Source organism: Homo sapiens, chromosome 5 (assembly GCF_000001405.40).
Source record: "Homo sapiens chromosome 5, GRCh38.p14 Primary Assembly".
NCBI classification, from domain to species: Eukaryota; Metazoa; Chordata; class Mammalia; order Primates; family Hominidae; genus Homo; species Homo sapiens.
Window position 1 is genome coordinate 100,555,789 of NC_000005.10, and position 21,991 is coordinate 100,577,779.

General features: G+C 34.8%; 1 protein-coding gene across 2 annotated transcripts in view; it reads left to right on the top strand.

The window, feature by feature from the left end:
• Positions 1 to 21,991, top strand: part of FAM174A (family with sequence similarity 174 member A) — a 51,368-nt gene that overhangs the window by 20,415 nt on the left and 8,962 nt on the right. For both annotated transcript variants that reach the window (XM_006714600.2, NM_198507.3), the window contains exon 2: positions 6,266 to 6,400. In XM_006714600.2, the coding sequence (XP_006714663.1) occupies positions 6,266 to 6,400 (135 nt within the window). The remainder of the gene's footprint in view (positions 1 to 6,265; positions 6,401 to 21,991) is intronic.

Consider the following 21,991-nt stretch of genomic DNA (forward strand, 5'->3'; position numbering starts at 1 on the left):
TGAGTTTTCTTTGAGTTTTTTTCTTTTGAGTTCATTGTGGATTCTAGATATTAGCCCTTTGTCAGATGAGTAGATTGCAAAAATTTTCTCCCATTCTATAGGTTGCCTGTTCACTCTGATGGTAGTTTCTTTTGCTGTGCAGAAGCTCTTTAGTTTAATTGGATCCCATTTGTCAATTTTGGCTTTTGTTGCCATTGCTTTTGGTGTTTTCGACATGAAGTCCTTGTCGGTGCCTATGTCCTGAATGGTATTGCCTAGGTTTTCTTCTAGGGTTTTTATGGTTTTAGGTCTAACATTTAAGTCCTTAATCCATCTTGAATTAATTTTTGTATAAGGTGTAAGGAAGGGATCCAGTTTCAGCTCTCTACATATGGCTAGCCAGTTTTCCCAGCACCATTTATTAAATAGGGATCCTTTCCCCATTTCTTGTTTTTGTCAGGTTTGTCAAAGATCAGATGGTTGTAGATATGTGGCATTATTTCTGAGGGCTCTGTTCTGTTCCATTGGTCTATATCTCTGTTTTGGTATCAGTACCATGCTGTTTTGGTTACTGTAGCCTTGTAGTATAGTTTGAAGTCAGGTAGCATGATGCCTCCAGCTTTCTTCTTTTGGCTTAGGATTGACTTGGCGATGTGGGCTCTTTTTTGGTTCCATATGAACTTTAAAGTAGTTTTTTCCAGTTCTATGAAGAAAGTCATTGGTAGCTTGATGGGGATGGCATTGAATCTATAAATTACCTTAGGCAGTATGGCCATTTTCACGATATTGATTCTTCCTACCCATGAGCATGGAATGTTCTTCCATTTCTTTGTATCCTCTTTTATTTCATTGAGCAGTGGTTTGTAGTTCTCCTTGAAGAGGTCCTTCACGTCCCTTGTAAGTTAGATTCCTAGGTATTTTATTCTCTTTGAAGCAATTGTGAATGGAAGTTCACTCATGATTTGGCTGTCCGTTTGTCTGTTATTGATGTAGAACAATGCTTGTGATTTTTGCACACTGATTTTGTTTCCTGAGACTTTGCTGAAGTTGCCTATCAGCTTAAGGAGACTTTGGGCTGAGACGATGGGGTTTTCTAGATATACAATCATGTCATCTGCAAACAGGGGCAATTTGACTTCCTCTTTGCCTAATTGAATACCCTTTATTTCTTTCTCCTGCCTGATTGCCCTGACCAGAACTTCCAACACTATGTTGAATAGGAGTGGTGAGAGAGGGCATCCCTGTCTTGTGCCAGTTTTCAAAGGGAATGCTTCCAGTTTTTGCCCATTCAGTATGATATCAGCTGTGGGTTTGTCATAGATAACTCTTATTATTTTGAGAAACGTCCCATCAGTACCTAATTTATTGAGAGTTTTCAGCATGAAGCGTTGTTGAATTTTGTCAAAGGCCTTTTCTGCATCTATTGAGATAATCATGTGGTTTCTGTCATTGGTACATGTTGGATTAAGTTTATTGATTTGCGTATGTTGAACCAGCCTTGCATCGCAGGGATGAAGCCCACTTGATCTTGGTGGATAAGCTTTTTGATGTGCTGCTGGATTCGGTTTGCCAGTATTTTATTGAGGATTTTTGCATTGATGTTCATCAGGGATATTGGTCTAAAATTCTCTTTTTTTGTTGTGTCTCTGCCAGGCTTTGGTATCAGGACGATGCTGGCCTCATAAAATGAGTTAGGGAGGATTCCCTCTTTTTCTATTGATTGGAATAGTTTCAGAAGGAATGGTATCAGCTCCTCCTTGTACCTCTGGTAGAATTCGGCTGTGAATCCATCTGGTCCTGGACTCTTTTTTGGTTGATAGGCTATTAATTATTGCCTCAATTTCAGAGCCTGTTATTGGTCTATTCAGAGATTCAACTTCTTCCTGGTTTAGTCTTGGGAGGGTGTATGTGTCGAGGAATTTATCAATTTCTTCTAGATTTTCTAGTTTATTTGTGTAGAGGTGTTTATAGTATTATCTGATGGTAGTTTGTATTGCCATGGGATCGGTGGTCATATCCCCTTTATCATTTTTTATTGCATCTGTTTGATTCTTCTCTCTTTTTTTCTTTATTAGTCTTGCTAGCAGTCTATCAATTTTGTTGATCTTTTCAAAAAACCAGCTACTGGATTCATTGATTTTTTGAAGGGTTTTTTATGTCTCTATTTCCTTCAGTTCTGCTCTGATCTTAGTTATTTCTTGCCTTCTGCTAGCTTTTGAATGTGTTTACTCTTGCTTCTCTAGTTCTTTTAATTGTGATGTTAGCGTGTCAATTTTAGATCTTTCCTGCTTTCTCTTGTGGGCATTTAGTGCTATAAATTTCCCTCTACACACTGCTTTGAATGTGTCCCAGAGATTCTGGTATGTTGTGCCTTTGTTCTTGCTGGTTTCAAAGAACATCTTTATTTCTGCCTTCATTTCGTTATGTACCCAGTAGTCATTCAGGAGCAGGTTGTTCAGTTTCCATGTAGTTGAGTGGTTTTGAGTGAGTTTCTTATTCCTGAGTTCTAGTTTGATTGCACTGTGGTCTGAGATACAGTTTGTTATAATTTCTGTTCTTTTACATTTGCTGAGGAGTGCTTTACTTCCAACTATGTGGTCAGTTTTGGAATAGGTGTGGTGTGCTGCTGAAAAGAATGTATATTCTGTTGATTTGGGGTGGAGAGTTCTGTAGATGTCTATTAGGTCCGCCTGGTGCAGAGCTGAGTTCAGTTCCTGGATATCCTTTTTAACTTTCTGTCTGGTTGATCTGTCTAATGTTGACAGTGGGGTATTAAAGTCTCCCATTATTATTGTGTGGGAGTCTAGGTCTCTTTGTAGTTCTCTAAGGACTTGCTTTATGAATCTGGGTGGTCCTGTATTGGGTGCATATATATTTAGGATAGTTAGCTCTTCTTGTTGAATTGATCCCTTTACCATTATGTAATGGCCTTCTTTGTCTCTTTTGATCTTTGTTGGTTTAAAGTCTGTTTTATCAGAGACTAGGATTGCAACCCCTGCCTTTTTTGTTTTCCATTTGCTTGGTAGATCTTCCTCCATCCCTTTATTTTGAGCCTATGTGTTTCTCTGCATGTGAGATGGGTTTCCTGAATACAGCACACTGATGGGTCTTGACTCTTTATCCAATTTGCCAGTCTGTGTCTTTTAATTGGAGCATTTAGCCCATTTACATTTAAGGTTAATATTGTGATGTGTGAATTTGATCCTGTCATTATGATGTTAGCTGGTTATTCTGCTCCTTAGTTGATGCACTTTCTTCCTAGCCTCGAGGGTCTTTACAGTTTAGCATGTTTTTGCAGGGGCTGGTACCAATTGTTCCTTTCCATGTTTAGTGCTTCCTTCAGGAGCTCATTTAGGGCAGGCCTGATGGTGACAAAATCTCTCAGCATTTGCTTGTCTGTAAAGTATTTTATTTCTCCTTCATTTATGAAGCTTAGTTTGGCTGGATATGAAATTCGTGGTTGAAAATTCTTTTCTTTAAGAATGTTGAATATTGGCCCCCACTATCTTCTGGCTTGTAGAGTTTCTGCCAAGAGATCAGCTGTTAGTCTGATGGGCTTCCCTTTGTGGGTAACCCGACCGTTTTCTCTGGCTGTGCTTAACATTTTTTCCTTCATTTCAACTTTGGTGAATCTGGCAGTTATGTGTCTTGGAGTTGCTCTTCTCGAGGAGTATCTTTGTGGCGTTCTCTGTATTTCCTGAATTTGAATGTTGGCCTGCCTTGCTAGAACTTCCCTATCCAGGGAAGTTCTCCTGGATAATATCCTGCAGAGTATTTTCCAACTTGGTTCCATCCTCCCCATCACTTTCAGGTACACCAATCAGACGTAGAGTTGGTCTTTTCACATAGTCCCATATTTCTTGGAGGCTTTGTTCGTTTCTTTTTATTCTTTTTTCTCTAAAATTCTCTTGTCACTTCATGTCATTCATTTGATCTTCCATCACTGATACCCTTTCTTCCAGTTGTTCGCATTGGCTACTGAGGCTTGTGCATTCGTCATGTAGTTCTCTTGCCATGGTTTTCAGCTTCATCAGGTCCTTTAAGGACTTCTTTGCATTGGTTATTCTAGTTAGCCATTTGTCTAATTTTTTTTCAAGGTTTTTAACTTCTTTGCCATGGGTTCGAACTTCCTCCTTTAGCTCGGAGTAGTTTGATCGTCTGAAGCCTTCTTCTCTCAACTCGTCAAAGTCATTCTCCTTCCAGCTTTGTTCCGTTGCTGGTGAGGAGCTGCGTTCCTTTGGAGGAGGAGAGGCACTCTGATTTTTAGAGTTTCCAGTTTTTCTGCTCTGTTTTTTCCCCATCTTTGTGGTTTTATCTACCTTTGGTCTTTGATGATGGTGACGTACAGATGGGGTTTTGGTGTGGATGTCCTTTCTGTTTGTTAGCTTTCTTTCTAACAGTCAGGACCCTCAGCTGCAGGTCTATTGGAGTTTGCTGGAGGTCCACTCCAGACCCTGTTTGCCTGGGTTTTTTATAGAGAAAGTTTAGACCTCTGGTCTACATGGTGTGTGTGGGTGTGTTTGCACACATACACACACATATACATGTTAATGTAACAACCTAAACATACTTAATTTCTCACTGTGAAAGAAAGAGTACTTTGTATTTCATACTGCTTCATTTTTGCTAGTACTAATATTTACTGACCCTTTCATTGGTTACATTTGTAACTTTAAATGCTATGCTTAACTCTCTGTTTCCTGTTCCATCACTTTAGACGTGTATATAGATAGCTCTATAGGTAATGACTGGTGGAAATTTTCTTTGTTTGTACTCACACTTAGTAACATTTTGTAAATTTTAACACTGAGACCAGGCACTTTACACCCAGGTGCTAATATCATACCTGATGCTTAATAAGACTCAATTATTTGTTGAAGGTATGTTTGTTTTCCAGGAGCTTCACTGTCATGTTTGAGGAGTCTCATGTTGCTCTTTACAGTTGATGTTATAGCCCAAGTATTTCTTATCCCACATATGTCAAACAGAGTAAATCAGAATTTATGTAAACTGATTTTATTTGTGATAACTTGCTGAAATATTTTCTATTTATTTTCAAACTCCAGTGGACACTCTTGTGAAACACATTTTGCTGTCTGTGGAGTTGAAGTTGTTGCATTGGAGATGACTTAGGCATTCCTTGCAGGGTCACAGTTTTGGTCGCCAAAGTAGAAGTCACTCAGACCCTCAACAATTAATTGAAGAACATCTTAATTGATACATCACTGTGCTAGGAAGTGGTTATGTAGTGGTGAATAAAGCAGTCTTGGTTGCTGCCCTCAGAGAACTTAGTGGGAGAGACAGATGAATAAACCCCACATAAACATATACATCAGCACATAGGAATGCAAATTAAGGTAAATGATTTGAAGGAAAAGAACAAGTTATTTGAGACACAAACTGGAAGTAGGACTCTAAATCTTGAGATTTCATTCATATGGCTAATAATGAATGTTAAGCACCCTTGAATCTTTTGAATTTCTCTAAGCCAGTGGTTCTCAAACTTGAATATGCATCAAAAGCATAAGAAATGTTTGTTAAAAGACAGGTTTCTGGGCCCCATCTTCAAAGTTTGTTATTCACTAGGTCTGGGCTAGCCATGAAGATTTGCATTTCTCGTAACTTCCTAGGTGACTGTGATTCTGCTGATCCAGAGAACCACACTGCAAGAACCACTGATCTCAGATAATGGTTTATATCACATTGGAATCACATTTAGAACCTCAACAAAATATTCATATTTAGTTCTTTTTTGCTGTACATTTTGATTCAGTTATGTCCTAAACATGGGACTTTAAAAAATACTCCCAGGTAATTCTAGTGTGCAGCTAGAGTTGTGGGCTATCAGTTTAGTCTGTGAATATGCATATACATACAGTTTCTTAGAGGGGCATCTAAACAGTGGTAAGAAAGCGGGGAGGACATGGGGAAAAGGCTGGAGCAGGAGGTTTCAGTAAAGAAGTACCTGACCTAAGCCTTTAAAAATTAAGGTTTAAAGTACGGTACCTGAATTTAAGGCTTAAAAGTTATTTGTCAACACCATCAGTTGACACAGAGAGAAGAGAGTATGTCAGACAGAAGAAACAGGCGATGGCACATAAACATGTAGGAGTAGGTTTTGTTTCATGAAGTTTAATCCTAGGTGGTAAATTTGTTGCATATCTGAAATGTAACCATTCTGATATTGTTTGCTATGTCAGAAACAGAATAATAATTTATTTTATAAATAAATATAAACTATGCCATATTAAATAATTTTTATTCATTAATTTGTTCTATTTGATAGGATGAGAAGAAGAAACCGAAAGACTAGGAGATATGGAGTTTTGGACACTAACATAGAAAATATGGAATTGACACCTTTAGAACAGGATGATGAGGATGATGACAACACGTTGTTTGATGCCAATCATCCTCGAAGGTAAGTATTCCAGTAGTTTAATTCCATGAATCAGGAAGCAAGTCCTTGCCAAGTAAACTGAAGAAGTAAAGTAGACTTTCATTTAACAGCTTATATTCCAACACAGTTTCTTCAGTTCTGTTTACTGAAGTTCTTTTTGCTATCTACCCCATAGCTCACATTCACGTTGTTTTGCTCAAATAGATACAAACAATAGAATACCATCTCAAAATATTTTTTTTAATTTATTCTTCTGTTTTTATCTTTTATTTTAAGTTCAGGGGTACAAGTGCAGGGTCGTTACATAGGTAAACTTGTGTCATGTGGTTTTGTCGTACAGATTATTTCATCACCCAGTTATTAAGCCTAGGACCCATTAACTTCTTCATTCTTGCAATATGTATTAACTTGGGTGTGTGTGTGCATGTGTGTTTGTGTGCGTGTGTGTTTGTGTGTGTGTGTGTGAGAGAGAAATACTTATTAAATTTAATTTCCTTTTTGTATTCTGAAGATATTTTCTTTTTAGTTTGGGTTCTAGTGTTTGTAAATAGTGCTGCCTTGCAGAATTGGGGGACTAATTGTTTATGGTCTGATCATGTAGCTGTAATATATATACTGAGATCTATTCTCAGTAAGTGTTAAGACCTTTCCTAAGAGGTTTAGATAAATAAAATGACATGAGTATAGAATAAATGCCAATGTAAATAGAATGGGGAAAAAAGCCAACAAAGATTCAACCTAATAAGGAAAGACATCTTGGAATCCAGAGGGATTACTTGGGTGAAGGAGAATTAGAGTCCAGAGTCAGGTACAAATGCAAAGAAAACAGAAATCTTAGGATTACAGAAAAGAAGATGACTCAACAAAAATTGGACTACTAAGTCCTGTATATCTATATTTATATCTATATATGTCTATCCATCTATCTATCTAAGCTGTTTATATATATGCACACACACAAAGGAACTTTTAGTAATGCTGATAATTTGTTCATTTAATACAAATATGTTCATGAATTATACATTTTAATAGTATTACAGCCTGAATAGGCAAACATGAACAAAACAATTGCATCTGTTCTTCAGGCACTCACTTTCAATTAAAGACGCATATAAGATGAAAGAAAAGGGACAGAAACTGATATTCCATGCAAATGGTAACCAAAACAAAGCAGGGGTTGCTAAATTTATATCAGACAAATTAGATTTTAAGTCAAAAACTATCTCTTGAGACAAAAAAAAAAAAGATCATTACATAGTAAAGGAGTCAATTCACCAGGAAGATATGACAATTAGTATGACTCTATCAGAGCACCTAAATTATAAAGCAAATATTGACAGATCTGAAGTAGGAAATTGACAGCCATAAAATAATTTATGGGACTTTAATATCCCACTTACAATAATGAATAGACTATCTAGACAGAAAATCAATAAAGAAACCTCTGACTTAAACAACACTGTAGACCAGTGGACCTGACAGACATATACAGAACTTTGCACCCAACAGCAGAAGAATTCACATTCTTCTCAAGTGCCCATGGGATGCACTCTGAGATAAATCATCTTAGGTCACAAAACAAGTCTTAACAACTTTAAGAAGATTGAAATTATTCCAAGTGTCTTTTCCAACCTCCATGGAATAGAAATAGAAATCAATAACAGCAGGAAAACAGGAAAAATTATAAATATGTGGAAACTAAACGATATAGTTTGAATAAACCTCCAGGCCAAATCTCATGTCAATTGTAACCCTCCATGCTGAAATTGAAGCCTGGTCAGAGATGTTTGGGTCATGGGGACTGATCCCTCATGGCTTGGTGCTGTCCTTGTGATAGTGAGTTCTTGCAAAATGTGGTTGTTTTAAGTGTGTAGCACCTGCTCCTCCTTGCTCCTATATTTGCCGTTTGAAGTACCTGATCCCATTTCACCTTGCACCATGAGTAAAAGCTCCCTGATATATGCTCAGAAGCCAAGCAGATGTCAGCACCATGCTTGTATAGTCTGCAGAACCACGAGCCAATTAAACCTCTTTTCTTTATAAATTACCCAGTCTCAGGTATGTCTTTATAGCAATGAAAGAATGGACTAATACACTGAACAACACACTCTTGAGCAATTATTGGGTCAAATAGGAAATCAAAGGGAATTTTAAGAGCTATTTTGAGACAAAAAAAAAATGGCATAACAAAACTTATGGGATGCAGCAAAAGCATTGCTAGGAGAGAAGTTTATAGCAATAAATGCTTATGCTATGAAAGAAGAAAGACTTCAAATAAACAACCTAGCTTTACCCTTTCAGAAAGTGGCAAAAGAAAAACACTTTAAGCCTAAGCCTAAAATTAGCAGAACGAGGGAAATAATTAAGATTATAATAGAAATACATTAAATAGAGTTGAAAAAGACAATGAGAAAAATCAATAAAATTAAGATTTTGCGTATAGAAAAGATAAAATCAATAAACCATTAGCTAGACTAAGCAAAAAAGAAAAGGCTCAAATAAATAAAATCAGAAATAAAAGAGAAGAAATTACAATGGGTACCTCAGAAATTAAAGAAGACATGAGACTACTATGAACAATTATATGCCAACAAATTTGATAACCTAGAAAAATAGATAAATTCCTAGAAACATACAATCTATGAAACTTGAATCAAAAAGAAATTCGAAGTCCAAACAGACAAGTAACAAATAAGGAAATTGAATCAGTAGTCAAAACCTTCCAACAAAGAAATGTCCAAGACCATATGGCTTCATGGGTAAATTATACCAGACATTTAAAGAAGAATTAATACTCGTCCTTCTCAAATTATTCTGACAAATAGAAGAAGAAGCACTTTAAAACTCATTTTATGAGGCTAGTGTTATCCTGATACCAAAGCCAGACGAAGGAAAGCAAACCGCAGGCCAATACTCCTGATGAACATGATACAAAAGTCCTCAATAAAATGCTAGTTACCCAAATTCAGCAGCATATTAAAATGATGATACACCATGATTAAGTGGGATTTGTCCCTGGAATGCAAATATCTTTCAACACATGCAAATCAATGCAATAGAACACATTAATAGGTTGAAAGAAAAAAAGCCACAAGATCATTTCAGTAGACACAGAAAAAGCATTTGACAGTGCTATCCACATAGACAAATGAGGTTGCATCAAACTAAAATGCTTCTGCACAGCCAAGTAGATAATCATCAGAGTGAAAAGGAACTTTAATAATGGGACAAAATATTTATAAACCATATATGTATATACATATATATATGAGTTAATATCCAAAATTTATAAGGAGTGCATGTAAGTTAATAGCCAAAAATCTCACATAATCTGATTTTAAAATGGGCACATGACCCCTGTACTCTGTTGGTGGGAATGTAAGTTGGCACAGCTGTTATGGAAAGCAGTACAGAAATTCCTCAATAAATTAAAAATATAATTACCTTATGATTTAGCAGTTTTGCTGCTGGATATATATCCAAAGGAAACCATTATTACATAGAGAGATCTGCACTCCCATGTTCACTGCAGCATTATTCATATTAATCAAGCTGTGGAAATAACCTAAATGTGCATTGACAGATGTATTAGTCCGTTTTCATACTGCTTGGAAGAAATATCGGAGACTGGGTAATTTATAAAGAAAAAGAGGTTTAATGGACTCACAATTCTGCATGGCTAGGGAGGCCTCACAATCATGGCAGTAGGCAAAGGAGGAGCAAAGGCACATCTTACATGATGGCAGGCAAGAGAGCATGTGTAGGGGAACCACCCTTTATAAAACCATCAGATTTCATGAGACTTATTCAATATCATAAGAACAGCATGGGAAAAACTTGCCCCTGTGTTTCAATTACCTCCCACCAGGTTCCTTCCATGATACCTGAGGATTAAGGGAGCTACAATTCAAGATGAGATTTAGGTGGGGGCACAGCCAAACCATATCAACAGATAAATGAATTTGAAAAGTATGATATATATATATATATATATATATATATATGTACATATAATATATATAATTACATGTATGATATACTATTGAATATTATTCAGCCTTAAAAAAAAGAAAATCTGGACATTTGCAACAACATGGATGAACATGGAGGAATTTATGTTATTTGAAACAATCCAAACATAGAAAGACAGATATTGCATTATCTCACTTATATATGGAATCTAAATAGTCAAGCTTATAGTAGTGAATAGAGTAGGGGTTAACAGGGGCTGCAGAGAAGGGAAAACAGGAAGATGTTAGTCAAGGGATCCAAAATTTTAGTTATGCAAAATGAGTAAGTTCATTTATGCAAGATGAATAAGCTATGCAAGATGAATAACTTGTACAGCAATGTGAATATAGTTAACAATACAATACAGTAGTGTATACTTTTAAGTTTGCTAGGAGGGTAGATGTTAAGTGTTCTTGATACACACAAAAATATGTTAATCTCAAGAGGTGATGGATATGTTGATTAGCATGATTGCAGTGATTGTTTCACGTAGTATATGCACATCATGCACATCATAACATCATAACATTAAGGTAAACACCTTAAGCATATCCAATTTTTATTTACCAATTATACCTCAGTAAAGATGGAGAAATAAAAAGTTCATGAAACAGTTGTAATCTATGCTAATCATCAATTCTATAGACCATAAAAAGTCATTTTGAAAATTTTAAGACAAGGGAAACTTTGATTACAAAGTTACGTTTTGAAGATTACCCTGACTGCATGGGTTGAAGGAGACCACGATAAAGAGTAAGGTGACAAAGAAGAAAAGTAGTTAGATGGTGCAAATGCATGGGATGACTTGCATTACAGTTACAGCAGGAAAGGCAGAGAGGAGTGAATTATTTAAGCAGCTTTGGAAGGTATTAATTACCTTCCTTAATTACCATCTTAACCAAGATGTAGGTCCTGTTTCGAAAGTGAAAGAACAAGAATTGGTTATAATAATGGTAAAGCATGTTTCAGGGATAAGAATGAAATCATCTTGAGTTATTTAGTAATCTGACCCAATTTACTTAATAAATAAGGCAAAACTTCTTTAATATATATCTAAATAAAGTGACAGGAACAGCACATTACTATTTACCTATTCATTAATTTATCTAACAAATGAATGATGTAGCAGCTATCTATTTGCCAAGCACTGGTCTATGTGTTTGAGATACATTAGAGAGCAGAACAAAACAAAACAAAACAAAAAAATCTGACTTTGTGAAGTTTGACTGCCAGTGGGGAAAAGATGAGTTAGAGAGGTTAACAGTTTATTTTTCATCTTCAGTTTTCCTTCTATATCTATCTGATTTTTTTCTTCGAGGAGCATATATTCATGCGTTACTTTTTTAAAAATTATTTTTGTCTGGAAATAATTTTAAACTTACAGAAAGTTTACAAGAATAAAAACAGTACAAAATATTCTATACTTGTTTTCCAGATTTACTAGTTATTAGCATTTTATCTTATTCTCTTGATCTTTTTTTCTCTCATAATATGTATACAGAAGAATTCATCCCTCTCATTTTGTATTTATCTGATGTTCTGATGTTTCCTCATAATTAGATTCAGGTTCTTCATTCTTAGTTGAAATACTACTTAGTTAATGCTCTCTCCTAAAAGTATCATATCTGGAAACACAGATGTCCACTTGTACTTCATTAGCAGTGATAATTTTTATGCACCTGTTTAAGGTTTTCCTTAATTTCTCCACTGTGTTAATGACTTTTCCCCTCCATAACTAATAAGGAAACATTTTACAATCATGAAAATATCATATTTCTCATCTAAATTTCTCCCTATGTTTAACATCTGTTCATCACAATTCTTGCCTGATCTAATCTTCGTTATGAAAGTTAGAACATAATTATTTTCAAACTTCATTATTTGTTTTCTGTTTACCAGTCAGCATTGACATTCTCCTATAAGTAAAAACCTTCCCTTCTTCCTTGTCTATCTATCATCAATATGTAATGATGATTTTCTCTTTTTCAAAGGTTCATAATTCATTGCTGTACTTATTTTAGTGCACATGTTGTCCCAGATGTGGTCAGTGGGAGCGTCTTCAAAATGGTTTCTGTCCTTGTAACTCGGTCCCATGTTTTTTAAGTGCCTCCTTACTTTCCAGCCTCATCAGATGTTCTAGACTCTTTTGGATTCAGCCTTGAAATCAGGCATTTCTCCATAGAGCCCTGGTTTCTTTGAATGGGCACTAGGTAAACTCTTTGCAACTGGGTTGACTTTGTTTCTGGGCCTTTCAGCACACAGTTCCATTAAATGTATGTATTTATGTATATAATACATAAATACACCTGTGTCCATGTGCTTGCTATACACACATATATGTGTACTTTAGATATTATCACTTCACACTTCCCATTCCAGTTTATCTCTCCTGGGTTCTTTTTTGCCTGCTTCCTTTCCATAGTTGTGTTTTTCTACTGTCATGAGATCTCTGGCTTCAATACTTTTACTAATTGGTTCAGTCTTATAATAAAACTGAATTAGTTTCTGAGTTTCTTTGCCTATTAAAGAATTGCTTTGCTTAAAAAAAACTTTCTAAAAAAAAATGAAAGTTTGCAGTTTTCTCCTCACTGTCCCATCATGTCCAGTACTAAGGATATATAGTCAGATACTGTGTTCATAAATAATTTGGCTTAGTTCTTTCCCACACTCCTCTTCAGTGTGCTCATAGTAGTCATTTGAAATATAATTTAATTTATTTTAGTTTGCTTTCTGTTTTAGGTTTCTTCTTCCTTTCCTATTTTTATTTTATTTTATAAGGAAAACACTAACATGCTTCCAAAAGTTAATACTATACATGAAACTTAAACACACACAAAAATATACAGACACACACAAAAGTTCTAGTCTGTCTTGTATACTTTCCACTCTCTACTCCATTCTTCCCACCTCATCCTTTGAAGACAAACAACTTCATTATTTTCTGGTTTATCTTCCCTATAGTTTTTTTGGTAAAAGTTGACAGAAACATGTATTTCTTATGTTTACCTCATTTCTTACATAAGATGTAATATGCTATATATGCTGTATTATACTTTTTTGTTGTATTTGATATTTTCTATAAGTCATGCCATATATGTATGTATTATAATCACAATAGAGTAATATGTAGCTATAAGTCATGCCATTTACTATGTCATATGTATATGAACATATATGACATAGAGTTACATATTACTCTATAGAGGCTATTATTATATATATATATTTACAGCTGCATATTATTCAATAGTGGCTATAGCATAATAACCATGGTTTATTCAATCACCTATGGTTTGACATTTAGGTAGTTTTTAGTTGTTTTGTAATTATAAATAGTACTGCAAGGAATAACTCTGTGCAAATGTGTTTTTGTATTGTTGGAGGTGGATTTTCAGGGTAAATTTCTGGGAGCAGAATTATGGGTCAGATAATGTGAAATCAGTTTTAATGATGAGAAATTGAAGGTGCCTATAAGATGATATCCTACTGGGCAGAGCAAATTGGATAGATTCATTCTTTCATTAAAAGCACTGATTAACTACCATGTGCCCCAGGCACTCTACTAAGCTCTGGGGATGTATACAATAGTGCACAAAAATGGACAAAATGCTCAGCCTCAGGCATTTAACAATCATATATACACATACATATATATGGAGATATATATATATATATCTCCACAGTGCAGAATGAAGGAGTCTTAGATATGGAGTTGGGATTCACAATTTTTGGGTTTTGACTAAATCGGGAATAATGCTCTTCTCTAAGCCAGATTTACTTTTCTCTTTTAAAATGAGCAATAAGGATGGATATTTCAGGGCATAAAGAAGCAAAGAATAGTCATACAGTTTTTCTATTCTCCTTTTATTCTCTTCTTGAAACAATATCAAACATCATTTAAATTACACTCACACTAATTCTAGACATCTGTGCTATTTTTTTCAGAGTCTAAAACACAGAGGTCGGGTGACTGTAATTTGGGGAAGGTGGCCACATTTCTACCACATAACAGCATTTTTAAAGAGGTGTGAGAAGAGGTGTGTTTATTCCTATTACCTTCTGTGGCTTAGACATTTTTTTCGGTAATGAGATATACATTCCAAATACCATTACTTTATTTGAAGAAGGACCCTATCTGACTTTTTAATTCAATGGGCAGAACTCGATCTGATTTTTTAATGTTGATATTAGAGATTAAACATGCATTACACTATCAATTCATTAAACATTTTAAACTTTTCTTGTGTGAAAGCTGCACACTGATCTTATTGTGGCTCACTTCAGTAAAAAATGATACTCATGTTTAATACCATTTTCCCCCAAGTAAATTGGAAGAAAAAGTCTATACTTATGTGGAGATATAAGATCTCTTTAGTCATTGAAATAGGAACTTGACCAAGGATTTCCCAGAACAGCTATATAATGCCTACATCTTAATCTCTTAGATCCTTTAAATCTGTTCAGTTACATGACAAAGATGGCCAAAGATTGCAGAGGGAATTAAGATTGCTAATAGGTGGATTTTAAAATAGTTGGATATCCCGGATTATATGCATATAATATATCAAATTATTTTTATTGCTGTAGCATTGTAGGAAGTAAATATCAGATAAGGCTTGCCCCAATATTAAGTAGGTTAGCTGTCAGTTTTTTTGATATTGCTTGTTAGCATAAGTAAATTTCTTACTATTTCTAGATTGCTAAGAGTTTTTATCATGAATAGTGTTGAATTTTATCATATACTTTTTCTGCATGTACTGAAAGTGATTGTTTTTTTCCTTTCTGTAAATAAACATGGTGAATTTCATTAATTGATTCTTGAATGTTAAACCAACATAATAGTCCTGAGACAAATCCTTCTTTGTCATGGTACCCTTCTATATATCGTTGGGTTCAATTCACTAATGTTTTCTTAAAGTATTTTTGTCTGTAGTTTATAGAGTTTATATGTACATATACATATATATGTGTGTGTATATATATATGTGTGTGTGTGTGTCTTTTATATTATCTTTATCATGTTTTGATATTAGGGTTTGCGTTTCTCATAAAATGTGTTGGGAAGTGATCCCTTTGCATCTATGTATTTAAAAAATCTGTGTAACACTGCCATTATTTCTTCCTTAAGTATTTGATAGAACAAATGAGTGAAACTGTTAAGTGAAGGGACTTTTTTATTGGATGGGAAGAGTTATTTAATATACATAGAGCTATTCAGATTTTCTGTTACTTCTCATGTAATTGTAAATTGCTTTATCAAGAAATTTGTCCATAATACACTGGACTTTAGAAATCAATTAAGTGGTGAATTATGTGCGTAATTTTCACATAACTGCTTTTCCTTGTGATTATTTAAATACTTAAATGTATAAATATATATTCCAATAAATATATAAATATATAGAAATATTTATTTAAATTTATATTTCTATATTCCAGTATATAAATATATATGTACTTCAATATATAAAGTATATACCTAAGTGTGTGTGTGTATATATATATATATATATACACACACACACCCTATTACTTTACTGTTACTTTATTATAAAGTAATAGAAAGGTTGAGAAATGTGGCATCTTTTACTGTTGTTATTGTGATCAGTAAATCTACTTTCCATTGCCAAGGTTGCTACAAATACCCTGCAATGGATACAGTAGGTTTTACAACCATTTTTACAGCAAAGTCTCTGATGGCTATAGTTACATGTGTTATATGTTACTGTACTGATTATATTAGCCACATATTTTGTAAACCAAGGCAAATTCAAGTCTGCCATCAAAGAATATCAGGAAACATATAACTGTTGCAGTTTGGGTTTTACCATTGAACTGAAAAGATGATTCCCTTGCTGACTCAGATATTCCTGATTAATTTTTTTAAGAACTGTTGAAAGTTTTACAGAAGTACTTTAAAATATTATCTATATGATTTAATAAATAAATCAGTTCAGTAGTATTCCTGCTTAAGGAAGTTATATTAATCTGTGTAATTAAATGTAGTAAAGTTGATTCAAGTAAAGGTTTTTTTTTCTTTTTTTTATGTAATATCTTTTTTTTTTTTACGTCTTTTTTTTTTTTAATTATACTTTAAGTTTTAGGGTACATGTGCACATTGTGCAGGTTAGTTACATATGTATACATGTGCCATGCTGGTGCGCTGCACCCACTAACTCGTCATCTAGCATTAGGTATATCTCCCCATGCTATCCCTCCCGCCTCCCCCCACCCCACAACAGTCCCCAGAGTGTGATATTCCCCTTCCTGTGTCCATGTGATCTCATTGTTCAGTTCCCACCTATGAGTGAGAATATGCGGTGTTCGGTTTTTTGTTCTTGCGATAGTTTACTGAGAATGATGATTTCCAATTTCATTCATGTCCCTACAAAGGACATGAACTCATCATTTTTTATGGCTGCATAGTATTCCATGGTGTAAATGTGCCACATTTTCTTAATCCAGTCTATCATTGTTGGACATTTGGGTTGATTCCAAGTCTTTGCTATTGTGAATAATGCCACAATAAACATACATGTGCACGTGTCTCTATAGCAGCATGATTTATAGTCCTTTGGGTATATACCCAGTAATGGGATGGCTGGGTCAAATGGCATTTCCAGTTCTAGATCCCTGAGGAATCGCCACCCTGACTTCCACAATGGTTGAACTAGTTTACAGTCCCACCAACAGTGTAAAAGTGTTCCTATTTCTCCACATCCTCTCCAGCACCTGTTGTTTCCTGACTTTTGAATGATTGCCATTCTAACTGGTGTGAGCTGGTATCTCATTGTGGTTTTGATTTGCATTTCTCTGATGGCCAGTGATGATAAGCATTTTTTCATGTGTTTTTTGGCTGCATAAATGTCTTCTTTTGAGAAGTGTCTGTTCATGTCCTTTGCCCACTTTTTGATGGGGTTATTTGTTTTTTTCTTGTAAATTTGTTTGAGTTCATTGTAGATTCTGGATATTAGCCCTTTGTCAGTTGAGTAGGTTGCGAAAATTTTCTCCCATTTTGTAGGTTGCCTGTTCACTCTGATGGTAGTTTCTTTTGCTGTGCAGAAGCTCTTTAGTTTAATTAGATCCCATTTGTCAATTTTGTCTTTTGTTGCCATTGCTTTTGGTGTTTTAGACATGAAGTCCTTGCCCATGCCTATGTCCTGAATGGTAATGCCCAGGTTTTCTTCTAGGGTTTTTATGGTTTTAGGTCTAACGTTTAAGTCTTTAATCCATCTTGAATTGATTTTTGTATAAGGTGTAAGGAAGGGATCCAGTTTCAGCTTTCTACATATGGCTAGCCAGTTTTAGAGAATAAAATACCTAGGAATACAACTTACAAGGGATGTGAAGGACCTCTTCAAGGAGAACTACAAACCACTGCTCAAGGAAATAAAAGAGGATACAAACAAATGGAAGAACATTCCATGCTCAAGGGTAGGAAGAATCAATATCGTGAAAATGGCCATACTGCCCAAGGTAATTTACAGATTCAATGCCATCCCCATCAAGCTATCAATGACTTTCTTCACAGAACTGGAAAAAACTACTTTAAAGTTCATATGGAACCAAAAAAGAGCCCACATCGCCAAGTCAATCCTAAGCCAAAAGAACAAAGCTGGAGGCATCACACTACCTGACTTCAAACTATACTACAAGGCTACAGTAACCAAAACAGCATGGTACTGGTACCAAAACAGAGATATAGATCAATGGAACAGAACAGAGCCCTCAGAAATAACACCGCATATCTACAACTATCTGATCTTTGACAAACCTGAGGGTTTTTTTTTCTTAATAGAATGTGACATTTCCTAATAAAACAGCACTTGAACCTGTTTTAAACTCTCTGAAAACATCCTAACTACATGGTTAAGACAGTCATGTATAAACCAATCATTATTTTTATTTGATTAATGAACTGTATATGTGAGCACAATGTACCACTGAATTGGATTCTAAAGGACAAAGAAGCATACAGTTCCGCAGATTTCCAAACTTATAATTTATTTTTATTTTTTTTATTTTTTTGAGATGGAATCTTGCTCTGTCACCCAAGCTGGAGTGCAGTGGCACTATCTCGGCTCACTGCAACCTCTTTCTCCCAGGTTCAAGTGATTCTCATGCCTCAGCCTTCCCAGTAGCTGGGATTACAGATGTGCCCACCAAGCCTGGCTGATTTTTGTATTTTTAGTAGAGACAGGGTTTTACCTTGTTGGCCAGGCTGGTCTCAAACTCCTGGGCTCAGGTGATCCACCCGCCTCGACCTTCCAAAGTGCTGGGATTACAGATGTGAGCCACTGCACCGGGCCTCAAACTTAAAATGTTATTTTTAAACTGATGACTTGGTCCAGCTTTCATTCTTGGAGTAAATATTTTATTTGAAGTTACTAAGTCCTATTTCAGCTATCTTAACTTGTTTAGCAATAAAGCTTTTGGCTTTACTTCTATTCCTATTTACTTCTCTCTTGTTATAATTCTTCACCCAAATTTGACTCTTATTGAATAAAAATTAGCAAAGAACCTATATTCTACCAGGGAGGAGGGGGCGGGGATAATATTCAAATAACTAAAAGCCAGAGCAGAAAAGAATATCTAAGTAAATGGTGCAGTTTTTCATAAAAGGGAATTTTTATTTCTGGCCTGGACAGAGTGAAGTAACAGAACTACAGTAGGAGTGATTGTGACAGCTGCTTGTTAATAAAACACACCCTTACTGCAGGACGTATTAGAGACTATGTTAGGATCCAAATTCACTATGAAATCACTAAAAACATTTCTTGCAGAGTAGTTCCTATTGTTCTCATTTGAAAGATAAGAAAACTGAGGCTTAGTTCAAATGACTTTGTCTGCAATATCCTGCAATTAATCTCATTCCTTTTGTTTAATATTTATTTGATTTATACCTAAAGAGGATAATTCTAAATTCTGTTCCTTCTGTCTTCTATACTACCACTTGTATTACTGTTAATTTTTCAAATACAGACTCCCAAAATAAAGCATATAAGTAGAATGATTTGTCTGCCTTTTCAATTGCAGTACAGAATATAATTAGTCTACAGTATAACTTTTATATATATATATATTTTATTATACTTTGAGTTCTAGGGTACATGTGCACAATGTGCAGGTTTGTTACATATGTATACATATGCCGTGTTGGTGTGCTGCACCCATTAACTCATCATTTACATTAGGTATATCTCCTAATGCTATCCCTCGTCTCTCCCCCCACCGCATAACAGGCCCCAGTGTGTGATGTTCCTCTTCCTGTGTCCAAGTGTTCTCATTGTTCAATTCCCACCTATGAGTGAGAACATGCGGTGTTTGGTTTTTTGTCCTTGCTATAGTTTGCTGAGAATGATGGTTTCCAGCTTCATCCATGTCCCTAAAACCATAAAAACCCTAGAAGAAAACCTAGGCAATACCATTCAGGACATAGGCATGGGCAAGGACTTCATGTCGAAAACACCAAAAGCAATGGCAACAAAAGCCAAAATTGACAAATGGTATCTAATTAAATTAAAGAGCTTCTGCACAGCAAAAGAAACTACCATCAGAGTGAACAGGGAACCTACAGAATGGGAGAAAATTTTTGCAATCTACTCATCTGACAAAAGGCTAATATCTAGAATCTACAAAGAACTCAAACAAATTTACAAGAAAAAACCAAACAACCCCATCAAAAAGTGGGCAAAGGATATGAACAGTCTACAGTATAACTTATAATAATTCTTGTGAGATCATCCCTTACTGGTGCTGTCTTCTTGTTTAACTGTTTTTAAAATTAGTCCCTCTTCATTTTCCAAATTCTATCCACAGAATAACAGGAAGCAAGTCATTTCCAGAGAGGCAAATGAATTTCCTTGCTTACAATTTTATGAAACTAGCTTTTTGTAGTCAGCTCTTTCTGAGAGTGGTGTTTTTTAATGTGGCCTTAAATACATCAAACTATTAACAATGATTGTTATTGGTCATTAAGATGTAGAGTAATTATTTTTTCTGTTTCTTTATATTAAATTGAGCCATATGAAAATACCAATATATGGTTTAATATAAATTTCCTAAAGGAAGTGTTTTTTTTCATGTAACAGAATGTCACAGATAGGGGCCTCACCAGGCACAGTACCTCAAGGGTCTTGCTCCTCTCCTCTGTGATTCCCTTGGTTCCGCTCATTGTCCTGTGTTGTTTTTATTCTTAGGTTGATAAGAGGATCATACTAGCAGTTCCTATAATTGCAACCAGATGGTAACTTTAACTGGAAGTTAGGGCCACACTCTTTTATGTCTCTTTCTTAAGAATGAGAAAGGTTTCCCTAAAGTCCTCCAACACAGTTGTTTCTTATTTTTATTTTTTTCACATCATTGTCCAGGATTAGATTATGAGATCATTCATAAACTAAGACATGGGGAGGAAAATGGAAGTACCATGATTAGTTCAGACTTACCAGTTGAGGTGGAATGGATATTGAGTAGCTAACCACCGTTCCACCAACTGTGTCTTGTATGTTAACCATTGAAGTTCAATACAGTCAAATGGGGAAAAATTGTAGGTTTCTGGGAAAAAAAATAGTTTGTGCTGCTTAATATAACTTTTCTTGAATTTGCTATTGTTATCCTAATTTTGTTAGTTAGAGGCAATTTTTTTGTTTAGTTGCTAAATCATTTTGCACAAAGGAATTATAAAACTGAAAAACAAATCTCAGTTCTTGGACTGTTGGTAGAATTTTCAGCTTTTCCAGAAAGAAAAACTGATGAGGAGTCAGAGGCCGCATATGCTGACTAAAAATTACTCTCGCTTTTCTCGAAGCAAAATGGAGACAAATTCTCATAAGCAGTCTCAAGAAACACAAGTTTAAAAGAATGCTTTACAGCATGAATCAACAAATGGAAACAATACCTTCTTGCTATTTTGTTTGATTTAGTAAAATTATTTTTAAATTACCCTGATTTGATTATTACACATTGTATGCTTGTATCAAGATATCACAAGTACCTTATAAATATGTAAAACTATTATGTATCCATAATAAAAATAATTAAGTTTTAAAATTATTTTAAAATCATTTAAATAATAATTTTATAATGATATAAACTAGAGGACATTTTGACAATCTTGGTAACAGATTCTAAAAGCTAATATTGCTGTCATTTCAGGCTACTTTAGTAATTTCTGCCAAATATGTAACTTAAAAAGCCCTAAATTTGCTTTTTGGCTACTGCTGTTATGCTTCATTAAATATACTATTGTGTTATATGTGTTGATTACATTTTGTGCTCAATGCGATACTTGGCCATAAAATATTTCCTGGTTATTAACATCAGTATATCAGAATCAGATTGCAGATTCAATATAAGTATTTAGTGAGAAATCCTCGTTAAGAATATCTTATTCAAACAGTTATCAATTTGAAAATACTGTAGTTCTAATTTCTAAAACACTGTCTTAATTGTTGGGTATAACATAGTATCAGAATAAACACTAACCTTAGTCAAAGTAAATAGAATATAAGATTGTATTAAAGTACTAATATTTACTTTAGAAATTTCTATTTAGTTTGTTCACTGGTATGTTGGTAGTAGGATAGTTCCTACTTAATTTTT